Here is a 15,663-nt window from a genome sequence, read left to right as displayed (position 1 = left end):
CTAATGAACAAAAATGCCCGAGTCTCACACCCTCTCCTGGAAACAGTAAGCAGTGAAGGGAGAAAGAAGGTATCCTTGGAAAACCTATGGGAAAGGTTCCTCTGAGAAGGTTCAGGCCTCCAGTGGCTTCCGTGACAAGATCCAGGAAGCTATTTGGAAAAGTCTTGTCAGGAGGAAAGGGCATGAGCAGGAGGGGGCTGGAGATAAGGGAGCCCTCTGGTACAATTAGTATATATAGAGTGCAACCAGGCTTAGTTCTCTCTCCCTCTAAAACCATAGTGTTGAACTATGTATCCTTTGATAACCTGATGAAAACTACAGATTCTTTTCTTAATATGTAAGCACAGGCCAGGCATGGTGGCTCATGCCTGTAATCCCAGCACTTTGGGTTGCCGAGGCGGGCGATCACCTGAGGTCGGGAGCTCGAGACCAGTCTGACCAACATGGAGAAACCCCGTCTCTACTAAAAATACAAAGTTAAACGGGTGTGGTGGTGCATGCCAGTAATCCCAGCTACTTGGGAGGCTGAGGCAGGAAAATCGCTTGAACCCGGGAGGCGGAGGTTGTGGTAAGCCAAAATCGCGCCATTGCACTCCAGCCTGAGCAACAAGAGCGCAACTCCATCTCAAAAACAAACAAAGAAAAAAAGTAAGCATATATTCACATAATTTTCATAAGAATTTAGGGAATTCAAACCCCAGATGAAAAAACACAACTTTAAAATATCTGCCTATCAACAATGAGGGCGGAGAATTGGAGTTAAAACAATTTCTTCCTAACCCCTAAAGTGTTAAACAAATGCTTTGTTATTGCCTTACACTGTATAATTGTTATGAACAGAACAAAACAAAAAACACAACCAGTTAGCTTGTTCCCAAACACCCACACAGAAAACAAAAGAGCACTAGTTAGTCATGGAAAAAAACCTTACCCTAAGACTCTAACTAGCATTAAAAACCAAGAATGAGTAGGCAGTTTTTTTCCCAGAGGAATGTAGCATTGTGGCGTAAGAGATGAAGGACTGGTTCTCTCCCTGGCTCTGTCATTAGTTAGCTACATGAATTTAGATAAATTGCTTCATATCTCTGGGTGGCAGGAAGGAGTTAGTCTGGATCTCTTAGGTTCCTTCCAACTCTAAAATCTATGATCAAGAACGCACTTTTGTGGAAACTTTGTTATGACTAGGAAAAACTGCAAAATAATTTGACATAATTCTCTGTATTATTCATATAAGAATGCCTGTATTGTGGTCTGTATTTTGGAAGACAGTTGTTCACAGTGTGAATAAAGAATGTTTCTTTGTATTAAATAATTTCAGTCTTGAATAGTACCCATTACAGTAAAACTGCTTCCAAACAGAGAATTTGGACACATGTTTGATATTCATTACGTTTACTCTATGGTAGTTTATAAAGCAAAAGCTACTTTGAAATGCTGTATTTGTTTGTCTTAACAAACAGCATGTATGGGGAGGGAAGAAAGGGAGAAGCCTCAGGTTGGTTGTGTAGTTTCTTTATCCCCAACTATTTTCTTAGTATTTTTACCTTAGACCAACATTCAGTTCATTAATGCCTAAATTTTCATCTATAACATACAGAGATAGTTCATTTTTGACCAGAAAAATACAAAGATTCAACATCTCAACAAGTCGATTCAACTTGCTGTGGGTCACGTCTGTGCTAAATACACAGAAATTCTTTCACTGGGAATGAGAAGTGGAGAGAGGGTAGGAGTTACATATAAAAAATACTGACAGAGTCTTAAGTAGTATGGAAGAACAAAAGTGATCACCCTCACTTGGACAAAGGAACACTTAGCGGAGGAGGGGTGGCTTACTTCACAGGGCTGTTTTGAGAAGCAAATGTGAGCACCAGTCACACAGCATGCACTCAATTCTTGGTTATTATTATTCATCAATACTTTTCAGTTAACCCTCTCTCTGTTATTAAAATATCCTTTTACCAAGTGGACCTTCCCACTAAAAAGGATATAAAGAATATTAAACTCTTTTTCCCTTATACGTACTAAAATTTTGACTTAATGGTGGCATATTTCATTTTAGCTGCCATTGTTAATGCCATCAGTTATTGATTACTATTAATCAGACATTAGACTCAAAGCTTTACAAATATTATGTCTTCTACATTCAAAACAGCTCATGTAGGTATCGTCTCTATTTCACAGATGAGGAAACTCAGGCTCAGAAGTTAAATAATCAGCCTAAGGTTTCACACCTGCACAATCAGTCTTTGGCGCCCTCCCCCCCACTCCCCGCCCCAAGTCTGTGACTCCAAAGCCTATTCCAATAAGACTATTTTTTATTTGTACTAGTTAGTAAAAAGCAATAACCTCAATTAGTTTCTCCTCACATTGAAAAATTTGGGAGCCAACTCAATAATTTTAAATCCTGTTGGTACAGGGAAAGCAAGTGAGATGTGTTATGAGCCATGAAGTTTCTCAAGTGAGTCAGAAAACCGAAGAGTTGAAAATTTTTAATAATTCTTTAACAGATTTAACCAAGTGGCAACAGGATTTAATGCTGTTTCTTCCAATTAAAATTCTGCATAGACCTAGCAAAAGTAAACTGTTTTGCAACAGCACTTTTTAAATGTGATTTTACCCCTTTCTCAGATTCCACATGAGATTAATACCAGGCTTTCAGTAAATGTTAGGTCTCTCCCCTTCACAGGATCTTGCGGTTTAGGAACTGAATAGTACCAAAATAATCATATAATCCAAGCCTTTAGTGAGAGTGATTGAAACCCAGAGAAGAGAAGAGGCTTGCCCAAGGGCATACATTTATATTATCTATGACCGCATTTGATTCCTAAAACAATTCTGTTAATTACTATATACTCCTGACTTTTCTAATTTATAGAATAGGAAAACAAAAATCAAAGAAAACAAGTGGAAAATCTATGTCTGAAACCTGAGTCCTCAAACTCTAGCAGAAAAACAGGAACTGTAAGACAGGATCCAGGGATACTAAAAACAAACAAACAAACATGGTAACAAAGATGAAGAATGCCTTTCTCAGGCTCACCAGTGTACTAAACACAGGCAAGGAAAAAAATCAGTATACTCAAAGACAGGTTAACAGAAATTATCCAAACTGAAACACACACACACACACACACACACACACACACACACACACACAGACTCAAAATTTAAAAACCAGAATAAAGCATCCAAGAACTATAGGATAATAACAAATGATATGACATACATGTAATTGAAATCCAAGAAGAAGACAGAATGAGGCAGAGGAAATATTTGAAAAAAATGACTGCAAATTTTCCAAAAATAATGAAAGAAATCAAAGCACAGATCCAAGAAGTTCAGAGAATCCCAAGCAGAATAAATACACAAACACACACCCCCTACACCTATTATACTCAAACCCTTGAAAGCCAAAGATACAAAGATCTTCTTGAAGGCAGCCAGAGGGGTAAAAAAAGACACATCACATACAGAAAAACAAAGATTACAGTAGTCTTCTTGTTAGAAACTATGAAAAGTAGAAAACCACAGAATGACATCTTTAAATCGCTGAAAGGAAAACGAAAAAAAAAACAACTACCAACCCCAAATTCTACGCTGACAGAAGATCTCTCAGACATGAACACTTTTCAAACCAAAACACGTGACAGAATTTATTAGCCATAGACCTGAACTGTAAGAAATGTTAAGGAAAGTTCTTCAGGCACAAGGAATTGATACCAGACAAACTTGGAGGTACAAAAGAAGATTTAAAAGATTTCCAAAAATGGCTAAAATGAAGGTTTGAGATTTTCCATAATAAAAGGTTTTTTAATGTTTAAAAATAAGTGTGTGAATATATTCCTACAACAATATCCACAGTACAGGCTTTTTTTGCACACATATACAAGGTTAGTAATCTGGAAGGCAGAATTACAATTTCTAATACTACTACTGGAGAATTCAAGAACAATTCTAAGTCAGACCACAGCTGGCACATACCTCTTGTTTGTACATTTATATCCTTAAAGTTAGGGAGGAACAATGTGTAACACCTTCACATGCCTTCCTATATTTTGTACAGCATAGATATCTAATTTTTTAGCTTCCATGGTATCTCTTAGAGAAGTCATAGTACTACTATGTCTTAGACTCCACATTCACCATGAGCCCTAATAACTAAACCCAAGGCCTTCTGGTGAATTTGATATGCTATAGTAAGGGTGTATTTTTTTTAGTAAACAAATCTGTAAAATGTTTTAATCTAAATTTCCATGTTATTGCAAATAAAGATACAGTTGTTGAATAAATGTATTTGCAGATAATAGTAAAACACAGAGGTTTTGGTAAGTGATATGTTATAAACAATTAGGTCAAATTAGCCGTCACTGGAGGGATCAACAGTGATATGGCAGGCAGGGTGGGCCAACGCCAGGGGCCAATTAAGTAGAAAAGGTCTGGCAATTATGCATCAAGTGCACAGAATTAGGCCAGGCTGGCAGGATTAGGAAGGTATCAAAAGATCAGACAAGCATTATCAACGATCCAGATTACATACAAAAAGAGTTACTAGGTCTCAAATATTGAGGCAGGTAGGGTCCAAAACCCTGGAAGTCAGAAGACATCTGGGTAATATCTAAAGGCAAAGACTGAATATTCCTGCTCCCTTTTCATACTCTGTGCTTACTGCCTGTATGACTTTCTCCTAATTAAGGCAGAAGTACAAAGCTTCCCAAAAAATTCTTATAAGTAATACAATAAGAGTACTACCTAATGCTATCAATCTTTCCTTCATACACCAGGTTTTAAAATAATGGAAAATGTGCTATAAAAAGGTTAGAGTCAATTATATGAAGCTGCTTGATTTTCAGAAAATATTCTTTTTTTTCGAGACAGGATCTTGCTCACTCACCCAGGCTGGAGTGCAGTGGCACAATCATGGTTCACTGCAGCCTTGATCTCCCAGGCTCAAGTGATCTTCCTGCCTTAGCCTCCTGAGTAGCTGGGACTACAGGCACACACCACCATGCTCTGTTAATTTTTTTTTTAAATGGATTGGGTTTCACCATGTTGCCCAGGTTGGTCTCGAACTCCTGGATCAAGCCTTGGCTTCCCAAAGTGCTAGGATTATAGGCGTGAGCCACCAGACCCAGCTTCAGAAAATATTCTTAAGCATTTCTTTGATTCTTCAAATAAATACTGGGCACCACACAAAATACTTGAGATGCAACAAGTAAGACAGCCCCAGAGCTCTAGTTTAAGTGGGAAAGAGACAAACCAAGTACTACGATAGCATGAGATTTGCCAAGATAGAGACAGAAAAGGTACTGCAGGAATAGACATGGGGAACATTAAGGAAACGTTTGTGAGAACTGTTGAAATTACCTCATAAACTTTTGCAGCTTATATTCTGAGGCAAACATTAAAATGATCTTTCAGTGTCTAAAATAGAATGTGTTTTGTGCCCCAAAACATTCTAAAAATTCTTGGTTGTTATCATGGGGAAATATTGACTGCTAAATAAGAATTATTACACCCAGAAATGTTTAGTAGCAAACAGGACATTAAGTTGCTTTAAAAAAAGAAATCAGCCATTTCTCACTTCATTTCAAGATTTTTTTACACACTAAAGATTTTGTGGCTCCAGTTAGGAAGAGGCCTTTCAGCCTCAGAAATGAGGAAAAATATCTTCCTTTGTTTTCTGACACTTATTGTGTAGGGTTATATTTACTAAGCTACTGGAATAATATTTTCATGTAGATGTCACTGGTGAGATTCCTACTAACAATGAGTTAAGTACTATCTGGTCACATATATCTAGAGGTGCTGCAACTTGGAATTTCTGACAGGCTAAAGGACTACATGCTCCTTTGGCATTCCCCCAGACTAAGCCAGAGAACTGCATTCTCCGACATTCAAAGTAACAATAAATAGCAGCCTCGGAGGCTGGTCCCAGGGAAGAGAAGTGGTATATGGGCAGGGTTAAGCCTGCAAACAAGTAAGAGACCAACCATTATAGATTCCAATACCATTTGGGCTGCCATTTCACAATTACAGCACCACTCATACTCTTATATTTTTTTCTGATCAACTGGGAGGTATAAAAGTATTAACTACTAACAAAGTACTGAAGCTTAGAAATTTACGCACAATCAAGAGTATCCTTCTGACAAGGTTATCAACATATACTTGTGTTCTTACAGGTCACTAGTAAGGAGAGTTAAGCTGGCAGGCCAGGAATCCCATATAACCTGAAGCCTATACCTCATGACAAGCAAAGGAATGCTATTCTTCCTGTGTGCCTAGACCTTTGCAGCACAGATCCATCACTGCTACTTTTCCCAGATTCTGATGAAAAGCCACTATACCTGAGAAGGCCAAAGCAAGCTAAGATGTACTCTCATCAAGCACAGAGTCCAGAATGTGTCCTTGGGTTGAATTGGGTAATTTGTTGAGTAATCAACCCCTCCCCCAATTTTTTGTTTGAACATCACAGTCTTCACTTCCTGAGGTAGCCGACCATCTCCAAAACAATCCCACAGTTCCAGCAGCTCTGCTGTAGTTTTCACTGTCCTAACTACTCCCTGACACACCTCAAAAGCCACTATAATAGTCACTGAATGCATCCATCTCCAAGGTCACCGCTGCGTAGACATTTGTGCGATTCAAGTGTGTATGTGGCAAACATTGGTCTGTGAAGACTTTATTTTGCTCCTGCCAGTTTTACACAGAAACCTCCAGTATTAAAGACAAATAGTTGTACACTCAGAATCTTTAAAGCTCCCTCCAAGGACATACTGCTTCATTAAATTCCCCAATATGCTTTTATTTGCACAGAGTGGTAACAAAAAAATAAAAGAGCTGATGTATATCATTTTTGCCACAGTTTTCAATAGAGTGAGCAGACCTGATGAAGTTGAGTAGCAATAAACTATGGAGGCTCTAGCCTTCTGTTCCTAGCATCTGCAAATAAAATCTTGTAATAGGATTTTGAAAGACATTGCCTGTCCTTTGGGAAGGCTCTGTCAAGGATCTGGAGTGCATAACTACTTACGGTTACCATAAGTAATCTGTTTCATTTGCTAAGCCTGGTGATGGCAATTCATTATGGAAAGGTAAAACTAAAAGCATTATTTTAACAGACAGTTAAAGGTATTAAGATACACTGCGTGGAAAGATACAGGATTCTGTGCCCAACTGCTTTTCTTAGTTCATGAACTTTATGCTAAATCACAAACATTCATCCATTTAAGGAGAAAGGGGGAAATGGCAACTAGAGCTGCTTTGTAAGTTAGGTATTTATATAGTGATAGAAAGATCACAGAGAGATAAATTGCCAATGACTTCATTCTGCCTCCAATTCCCCTAAAAAATAATTGTGGGCCTGTTACAAAGATGTCTCTCTTGCATCAGACTTCTCAATGACTGTCTTTCTTGCATATGAACACGTGATAATTACTGGGCAGAGGCCAAGTTAATCCTGCTCTGCAACATAGCTAATAACATATTTTACCTCTATTATCAAAGAAACAATCAAAATTATACAGACAAGCCTTGCCTGCAATCCTCAAACAGTATCTCTAACCTGTCTTTCTCCTGAATCAGTGGTAAGCAACCTTTATAATTTAAAATTACTATTTAATTTTTTTAAATTATAGTTTTCATGGGCTTCATTTTTTTCCTATCACATCCTACAAGGGTCAGAATTTCTTCAGTACTTGATGATACCAAGGACAGACTGATAGACCAAAGCTCTACTTCGCACCTCCCATCTGCTACAGTATAGTCAGTTTCCAGACTGTTAATGGGTGTATTGACTTTTTTGGCTATCCTGTAACCATTTTTTAAAATTTCATGCATATGCAATATAAGATTCTTACTCCAATCTTGCTCTCTTTTCCATGATGGAACAGATAAAAATTGACTTACAGGCCAGGTGCGGTGGCTCACGCCTGTAATCCCAGCACTTTAGGAGGCCAAGGAGGGTGGATCACCTGAGGTCAGGAGTTCGAGACCAGCCTGGCCAACATGGTGAAACCCTGTCTCTACTAAAGATACAAACAAATTCGCCAGGCATGGTGGTGGGCACCTGTAATCCCAGATACTCAAGAGGCTGAGGCAGGAGAATCACTTGAACCTGGGAGGCAGAGGTGGCAGTGAGTTGATATTCCACCATTGCACTCCAGCCTGGGCAACAGAGCAAAATTCCATCTCAAAAAAACAAAAAAAAAAACAAAAAAAAACACTGAGAACTGACTTATAATGACTTATACAGAAGTAACATAAAGATTGCACTGATCATAATATAGCAAATAGGTGGGCAGAATTTGGTAAATTTATGTTCTAAATCAAAATTAGGTATTGTCTTTGTCAATTAAGATGTTTTTAGTTCACAGCAGTCACGCACTGAAACAAATATGTGTTCAGTTCTACGACAGTGGCATAAAACTCTTAAGTGAACCAAATCCCTACCAGAGGAACCCGTAAGGTGAACTAGGTTCCCTTCCTTTGTGTTTCTACAGCACACTATGTAAATACCATCACAGTAATTATCATTCCATATTATAATTATTTATGTTTTCCCAGTAGATGACCTTTTTGATGGTAAGTGTAATGTGTCTATTTTTTGTTTAACCCAGGGATTAACATTGTTTATAGAAAGCACTCAAATATTCTTCAAATGAAAACCTATTCCATGCAAAACAATGTGTACAGAAGCTTCCCCTAAATGGTTGCATATATAATGTTCAGTCTTCCCACTTTATCGTCTACTTGGGGACAGGGACTTGACTTTGTTAACTCCTATGTCCCCAATAGTTACCGCAGTTAGCACATAAATAGGCTCTCAGCACATTTATTTAGTGAATAAATAAACCAGGCTAGGTCTCTTACCACTGGAGTGGCATGATGTTAGAACAGACGGCCTTACCGCTTCCCCTACATGAGATTTTTTACCCAAAAAGTATCTATTGCATCATAAGCAGATTCCTTTTCCCGCAGATATTATATGGCTGGCATTTCCCAAAGATGTTTGTTAATGGATTATATGAGAAAAATTAATCCCATTTTAAATAAGTTTTGGAAATGCGGGTTAACGAAGTCCAGTCTTTCAAGAAGGATTTCTTTGAGCCTTTATTGTAAGATTCTCCAAAACATATTTGGTCATACACCCATTGGGGTAAGTGGTTGCAGACAATGCTGACCTCTCTCATTATATTTCTAGAAATCAGAGAATAAGAATTCATAGTTAGGATACTACTCTCACTGAAAAACTTTCAGAACGCTGATAACATTGGTTAAGAAACTGAAAGCAATGTAAATTGGTTAACCACTTTTAGAAAGTAATTTGGCAATACATTTCAGAAGCCCAAGGAAATAATCCGAAATATTAAAATAGGACCAGGCATGGTGGCTCATGCCTGTAGTCCTAGCACTTTGAGAGGCTGAGGCTAGAGGATCGCTTAATCCCAGGGGTTTAGTACCAGCCTGGGCAACATAGTGAGACCTCGTCTCTATAAATAATTAAAAAATTAGCCAGGTGTGGTGGCACACACCTGTGGTCCTAGCTACTTGGGAGGCTGAGGTGGTAGAATCGTTTGAGCCCTGGCAATGGAGGCTGCAGTGGGCCGTAATCATGCCACCGCACCCCGGCCAGGGCGACAGAGCGAGACCCTGTCTCAAAACAAAAAACAAACAAACAAAAAAAACATTAAAATAGCTCCACATGTTCAATACAATGCTATTATGAGAAAAAAAATTACAAATTAACTATCCAATAATAGAAAATAAATCTACAACTGGGATATTAAAGTCATAAAAATAACTATGAAGACTGTATAGTAACATATAAAAATGATTATAATAAACAGTTGTGTTAGAAACATGGTTTGAAATTGCATCTATGCTCTGATTATACAAATATGCAAAGGAGAATATGCAAATATGTAAGCATTAGAAAGGGATGATGCAATTTTTAAGTAATTTGATTTATAATGCATTTTTCCCATTCTGATTTCCATTAATGCTATTTAATTATGAAAGAAATAACATACATTATATATAATATATGCTCCCATTTATCCAGATTATGCTTTTTCTACTTCCTCATTATATCACCTATATATCAAAACCACCAGAAAATGTTTAAGTCATTTAACCTAACACTTATTGATGGGAGATTAGAACACTTCAAATTTCCTTAGAAAGCTGTATGCTGAGAATGACCCAGGTAGGAGCAAGATTTCTCCTGAAGAATGCAGGAAAACTGGCAATTTAGAGAGGTAAACAGGTATGGAGAGGGAAAGGAACACAAACCTGGGCTTGAATTCTAGCTAGTCTTCTAAACAGTAGATGATCAGCTGAACTGACCTCCCCACCTGCAAGGTAAGGACAACTACTCTATAGCATGCATTGTTTTCAGGATAAATGATTTTAAGTTCCTAGGACTAAGCCCTAAATCATTGTTATGTCCTTTCCTAGTGGGATACAGGAAAATCTTCCCTATGAAGCATTAAAAAAAGTGAGTTCCCACAAATATTCATCTCAAACATCTTTAAGTTGTTCCCATACTGTACATATTATAAAATGTGTGTTTGAAAACTGAAAAACTAGTTGTAAGGGAAATACAACCAGAAGCAACGAATGAGTACACAGTTTTATAGACAATTGTGTAAGAAACAAATTAATAGTAACTTTCAAATGACAATACAATGAGAAAAACTGAAATGCCTTTTTTATAGCTTAAATTTTCCACCTAGCTTTACTGAGGTATAATTGAGTAGTAAAAAGTATATATATCTAAGGTGTACAACATGATGTTTTGATAAACATACAGACTGTGAGGTCTTAAAGTTTTAAAGGAAGTTGAAGGAAACTTCAATTCTGAAACCTGTAATCAACCAAACTTAAAAATCCATTCATTCAATAAATAACTTATCATATAAAAGGAAGGGTGCTTGGAGCTTAAGAGATTCAGCTACTTTACTTTCACCTTTCTGCTGTTCTCTTGCTAATTTACCTTCCTTGTCTCTGGGTTCTACCCTTTCTGTCCTCCCTTTCATATTTTATTTTATTTATTTTTTAAAGAGAGAATCCTGTTTTGTCACCCAGGCTGCAACGCAGTGACAGGATCATAGCTCACTGCAGCCTCAAACTTCTGGGCTCAAGTAATCCTCCCACCTTAGCCTCCTGAGTAGTTAGGACTACAGGCATGCACTGCTATACCTGGCTGATATTGTTATTTTTTGTAGAGATGGGGTCTCGTTTATGTTGCCCAGGCTGGTCTCAAACTCCTGGCCTTAAGTGATCCTCCTGCCCTGGCCTCTCAAAGTGCTGGGATTACAGGCATGGGCCACTGTGCCTGGTTGTCCTCCCTTTTATAACACAACCCATTTGAGTTCGTAATTGAGGGTTGGCGAAATTATAGGAAAAGCTGCACGTATTAAGGTAGAAAAAGATTATAGATCAATCAAAATTAAGACTATTACCAAAATGATGTTTTATACAAGTACTTAAAGTGACTGTGTAACACTAAATCATAATACCATACAAAGAGACAGATTTTAGCTAATATTATTGAGCATATTCCATGTGCCATTTTGCCTGTATTAACTCATTTATTCTTCAGAACAAGTGTTATGAAGTTGATGTTGTTATTATTCCCATTTTACTGATGAGGAAACTGAGACAAAGGGGGTTAAGTAATATGCCCAACTCAAATGGTCAGTACGTACTACAGCAGGAATGTGAACCAGACAGTTGGGCCAGGACCCATGACACTTTGCTGCGCTCTGTTTACTGTGGTTAGCATATCCTGTGTAGACACTGTGGAATGAACTATGTGGAAAAAAGGAGGGAAAAGAGGAAAATGAGAGGCGTAAGAATTGCAGTAAAAATACCGCAGTACATTCTACAGCTTAATTTATCTAAAATAAAAAATTTTTTTTGAGACAGGGTCTCACTCTGTCGCCCAGGCTGGAGTGCAGTGGCGCAATCTCGGCTCACCGCAACCTCCACCTCCCAGGTTCAAGTGATTCTCCCATCTCAGCCTCCCAAGTAGCTGGGACCACGGGCACATGCCACCATGTCTGTGTAATTTTTGTATTTTTAATAGAGACGGGGTTTCATCATGTTGGCCAGATGGGTGTCAGGCCTCTGAGCCCAAGCTAAGCCATCATATCCCCTGTGACCTGCACGTATACATCCAGATCACCTGAAGCAACTGAAGATCCACAAAAGAAGTGACAATAGCCTTAACTGATGACATTCCACCACTGTAATTTGTTTCTGCCCCACCCTAACTGATCAATGTACTCTGTAATCTTCCCCACCCTTAAAAAGGTTCTTTGTAATTCTCCCCACCCTTGAGAATGTACTTTGTGAGATCCACCCACTGCCCGCAAAACGTTGCTCCTAATTCCACCACCTATCCCAAAACCTATAAGAACTAATGATAATCTACCACCCTTTGCTGACTCTTTTCGGACTCAGCCCGCCTGCACCCAGGTGAAATAAACAGCCTTGTTGCTCACACAAAGCCTGTTTGGTGGTCTCTTCACATGGACGCGTGAGACAGTGGGTAAATTATTTTTTTTTACATGGTTAACTTTTTCTTACAGGAAAATTATAGGTCATAACCAAGAATAGCATGTTATTAACATATTTTGTCTTTTGATTTCAAAGGTAATTTCCAAATGTCCAAATATTACTCTTGATATTTGAAGAAAACACCTGCAGTGATATTTAACAGGCAGAAACAAACTGTTGTTTCCTCCTAGCCATCTGTAACTTCCACCTAAATTCTGTAAAACACTTGATTGTATTTCAAAAACAATAATACTTAAAGTGCTACTTTGCTATTAAAAAAATCACATACAATGCCCATCAACTGATGAGTGATTAAACACAATATGGTACATCCATGCCATAGAATATAATTTTGCAATAAAAAGGAATGAAGTAATGATACACACATGCTACAACATGAATGAACCTTGAAAACATTCTAAGTGAAAGAAACCAGGCACAAAGCCCATATATTATATAATTCAATGTATATGAAATACCCAGAATAGGCAAATCTATAGAGACAGAAAGTGGGAGTTGAGAGGAAATGGGGAATGACTGCTAATGGGTATGGGGTTTCTTTTGAGGTGATAAAAATGTTCTAAAACTGATTGTGGCGGTGGCTATTCAACTCTATGAACATACTAAAAATCATTTTGTATGGTATATGAATTATATCTCAATAAATTTGTTATATGTATAAAAGAAATCACATTAAAACACTTCAAAGGGTCCACATTGGCCACTTCACCTGCAGAGTTCTGCTGACTTCATGACAGACTCCATATGAACACTTTTCATATAGCTACCGCATCAGATATACGAGATGAAAGTGGAAGGTCTTTAAGGTAAAGACTTGGGTAATAATGAAATTTGATGAACAAAATCATGTTTCTGAGAAATCAGAAGTTACTAGAATTACTAGATAAGGTGCTGACTTTCAATCCCTCTGTAGGCAACACAAGGGAAGAGGGTAAATAATGTTGCAGACAACTAAAATATAACATAAAATAGATCTGAATTAGAAAAATCATCTTATAGAGATCAAAGGACTCACGTGACAAGGCAAAACCAGACTGCAGTATAAACACAGCTACAGAAAGATTGTACTTGTCAGGACCGGGTGCAGTGGCTCATGCCTATAATCCCAGCACTTTGGGAGGCTGATGTGGGAGGATTGCTTGAGCTCAGAGTTCAAGACCAGCCTGGGCAACAAAGTGAGACCCTATCTCTTAAAAAAAAAAAAAAAAAAAGACTGTATTTGTCAGAAAATAGGAAATGGATAGGGCAGGTAGACACATACTACTATTTACTTAGCACCTATTAGGTGCCAGGATTTGTACCTGGGTAGTTATAGTGAAAAATAAAAGTGTGACAGATAAACCTTGATACTGTCCTTCCAAACTGTGTTGGGGAAAGGGTCCTAGAAGAGTGAACTCTGGCACCTAGCTTCTCATGCAGACGTGCTTTTACTGCTGAATAGACAATTCAGGCTACTGAACTGAGGCTGCACCATGGGTCATCCAGCCTACTCCCCTTCCCTTCATCTGATTCCATGTCATCAGGCAACCTTCTGACTGTGCTCTTGCCTTCCACAGGTTGACAAGTGGAGTGCAAAACATAACTAGAGAACTACAGAAAAATAAAGCAATAGAGCAATGGAGCTTATTGCAATTACAGACACTTGGGAAGAATATATACAGACTAAGCTGCTAACATTTGTTATCTCATAAGGTGGAATGAGAAAGGACTCGCACATATTGGGATTGGATTTTTAAAAAATAACCATACTACTTTTCTATTAAGAATAAATGTAATAGTTCTTAAATAATAATAATTTGGCTTTACTTTCACACTTACCAAACTGACAAAAAATTTCTGGTCTGCCTGTCAGTTGATTCTTGAATAAATTAGCCTGCTGGGTTGATAGGTGTGTCTTATGATGTAGTTTTACATGAATTCTACGTTAAGAGAAGAGTACACTTTAAATCTAGCAAAATAAAGTTCTAAGTCTCCAAAGCCCCAGAGCTTTGTGGATTCTAAGGTCAATGACACTTAGCAGAGCGCCTCTTCACAGCTATCAGCTGGCCTTCCTTGGTAAAACCTAAACCACACCAAGTACTTCCCATTCAAATTCTACAAGCAGAAAATATTAAAGAACTACAATTTAGACCGTTTCCAGAGAACTTCTCCTAGCATTTCAGTATAATTTACAAATAAGCAGCTCTTAGATCTGCAGGCTTGCCTTACTATCTTTGGATAAAACAAGGTTGTTTCTCCACAATCAACCAACCTTCAGCACCCGCTCCATGCCCGGAAATAGATCAGAACCATGGAGGAAGTCCTAGGAGCATGAGAGTGCTGAGTTTAACCTGGCCTTACAATTTGGGTCCAAAGTCCAACTAAACTCCCATCTGTGGCCCAAGGTTTAAAATTAAAGGTTGAAGTATCCTGCAGCACGGGCCACTGAATGTGCACTGACATTTCAGCATCAGATAACCAGCTGACCTTCAGCTACCCCTAAGTATGACCAATGGGTTATCTCCAAGTGACTGCTGTATATGAAGATGATATATCGTCACAAAACCCCCAAATCCTCCTTCTTGGCAAATTCCAACTATTAAAAAATCAAGACGTGCCAGGCGCAGTGGCTCACGCCTGTAATCCCAGCACTTTGGGAGGCCAAGGGGGGTGGATCACGAGGTCAGAGTTCAAGACCAGCCTGGCCAACATGGTGAAACCCCGTCTCTACTAAAAATACAAAAATTAGCCGGGCATGGTGGCGCACGCCTGTAATCCTAGCTACTCAGGAGGCTGAGGCAGGAGAATTGGTTGAACCCAGGAGGCGGTGGTTGCAGTGAGCCGAGATTGCACCACTGCACTCCAGCCTGGCTGACAGAGCAAGACTCCATCTCAAAAAAAGAAAAAAAAAATCAAGACCCAATCTATTATTAAGAAGCAAGTAGAGAAGGAAATAACACAGAGGACTCAAACATCAAATTGACAGTCTGATCAGAAGACTATTGCAGTCCTTTCCAACTTTGACATTCAATGATTCCATGATCAGCAAACATTCACAAGAAAACATATGGGCACACCAGAAGCTGAGTTAAGGAA

The 15,663-nt window shown here is 38.4% G+C and overlaps 1 protein-coding gene across 7 annotated transcripts in view; it reads right to left on the bottom strand.

Moving 5' to 3' along the window:
* Positions 1–15,663, bottom strand: part of SLC44A1 (solute carrier family 44 member 1) — a 193,854-nt gene that overhangs the window by 140,477 nt on the left and 37,714 nt on the right. The window lies entirely within an intron of this gene.

Source organism: Homo sapiens, chromosome 9 (genome assembly GCF_000001405.40).
Source record: "Homo sapiens chromosome 9, GRCh38.p14 Primary Assembly".
Lineage (NCBI taxonomy): Eukaryota > Metazoa > Chordata > Mammalia > Primates > Hominidae > Homo > Homo sapiens.
This window is presented reverse-complemented; position numbering and strand designations above follow the sequence as displayed.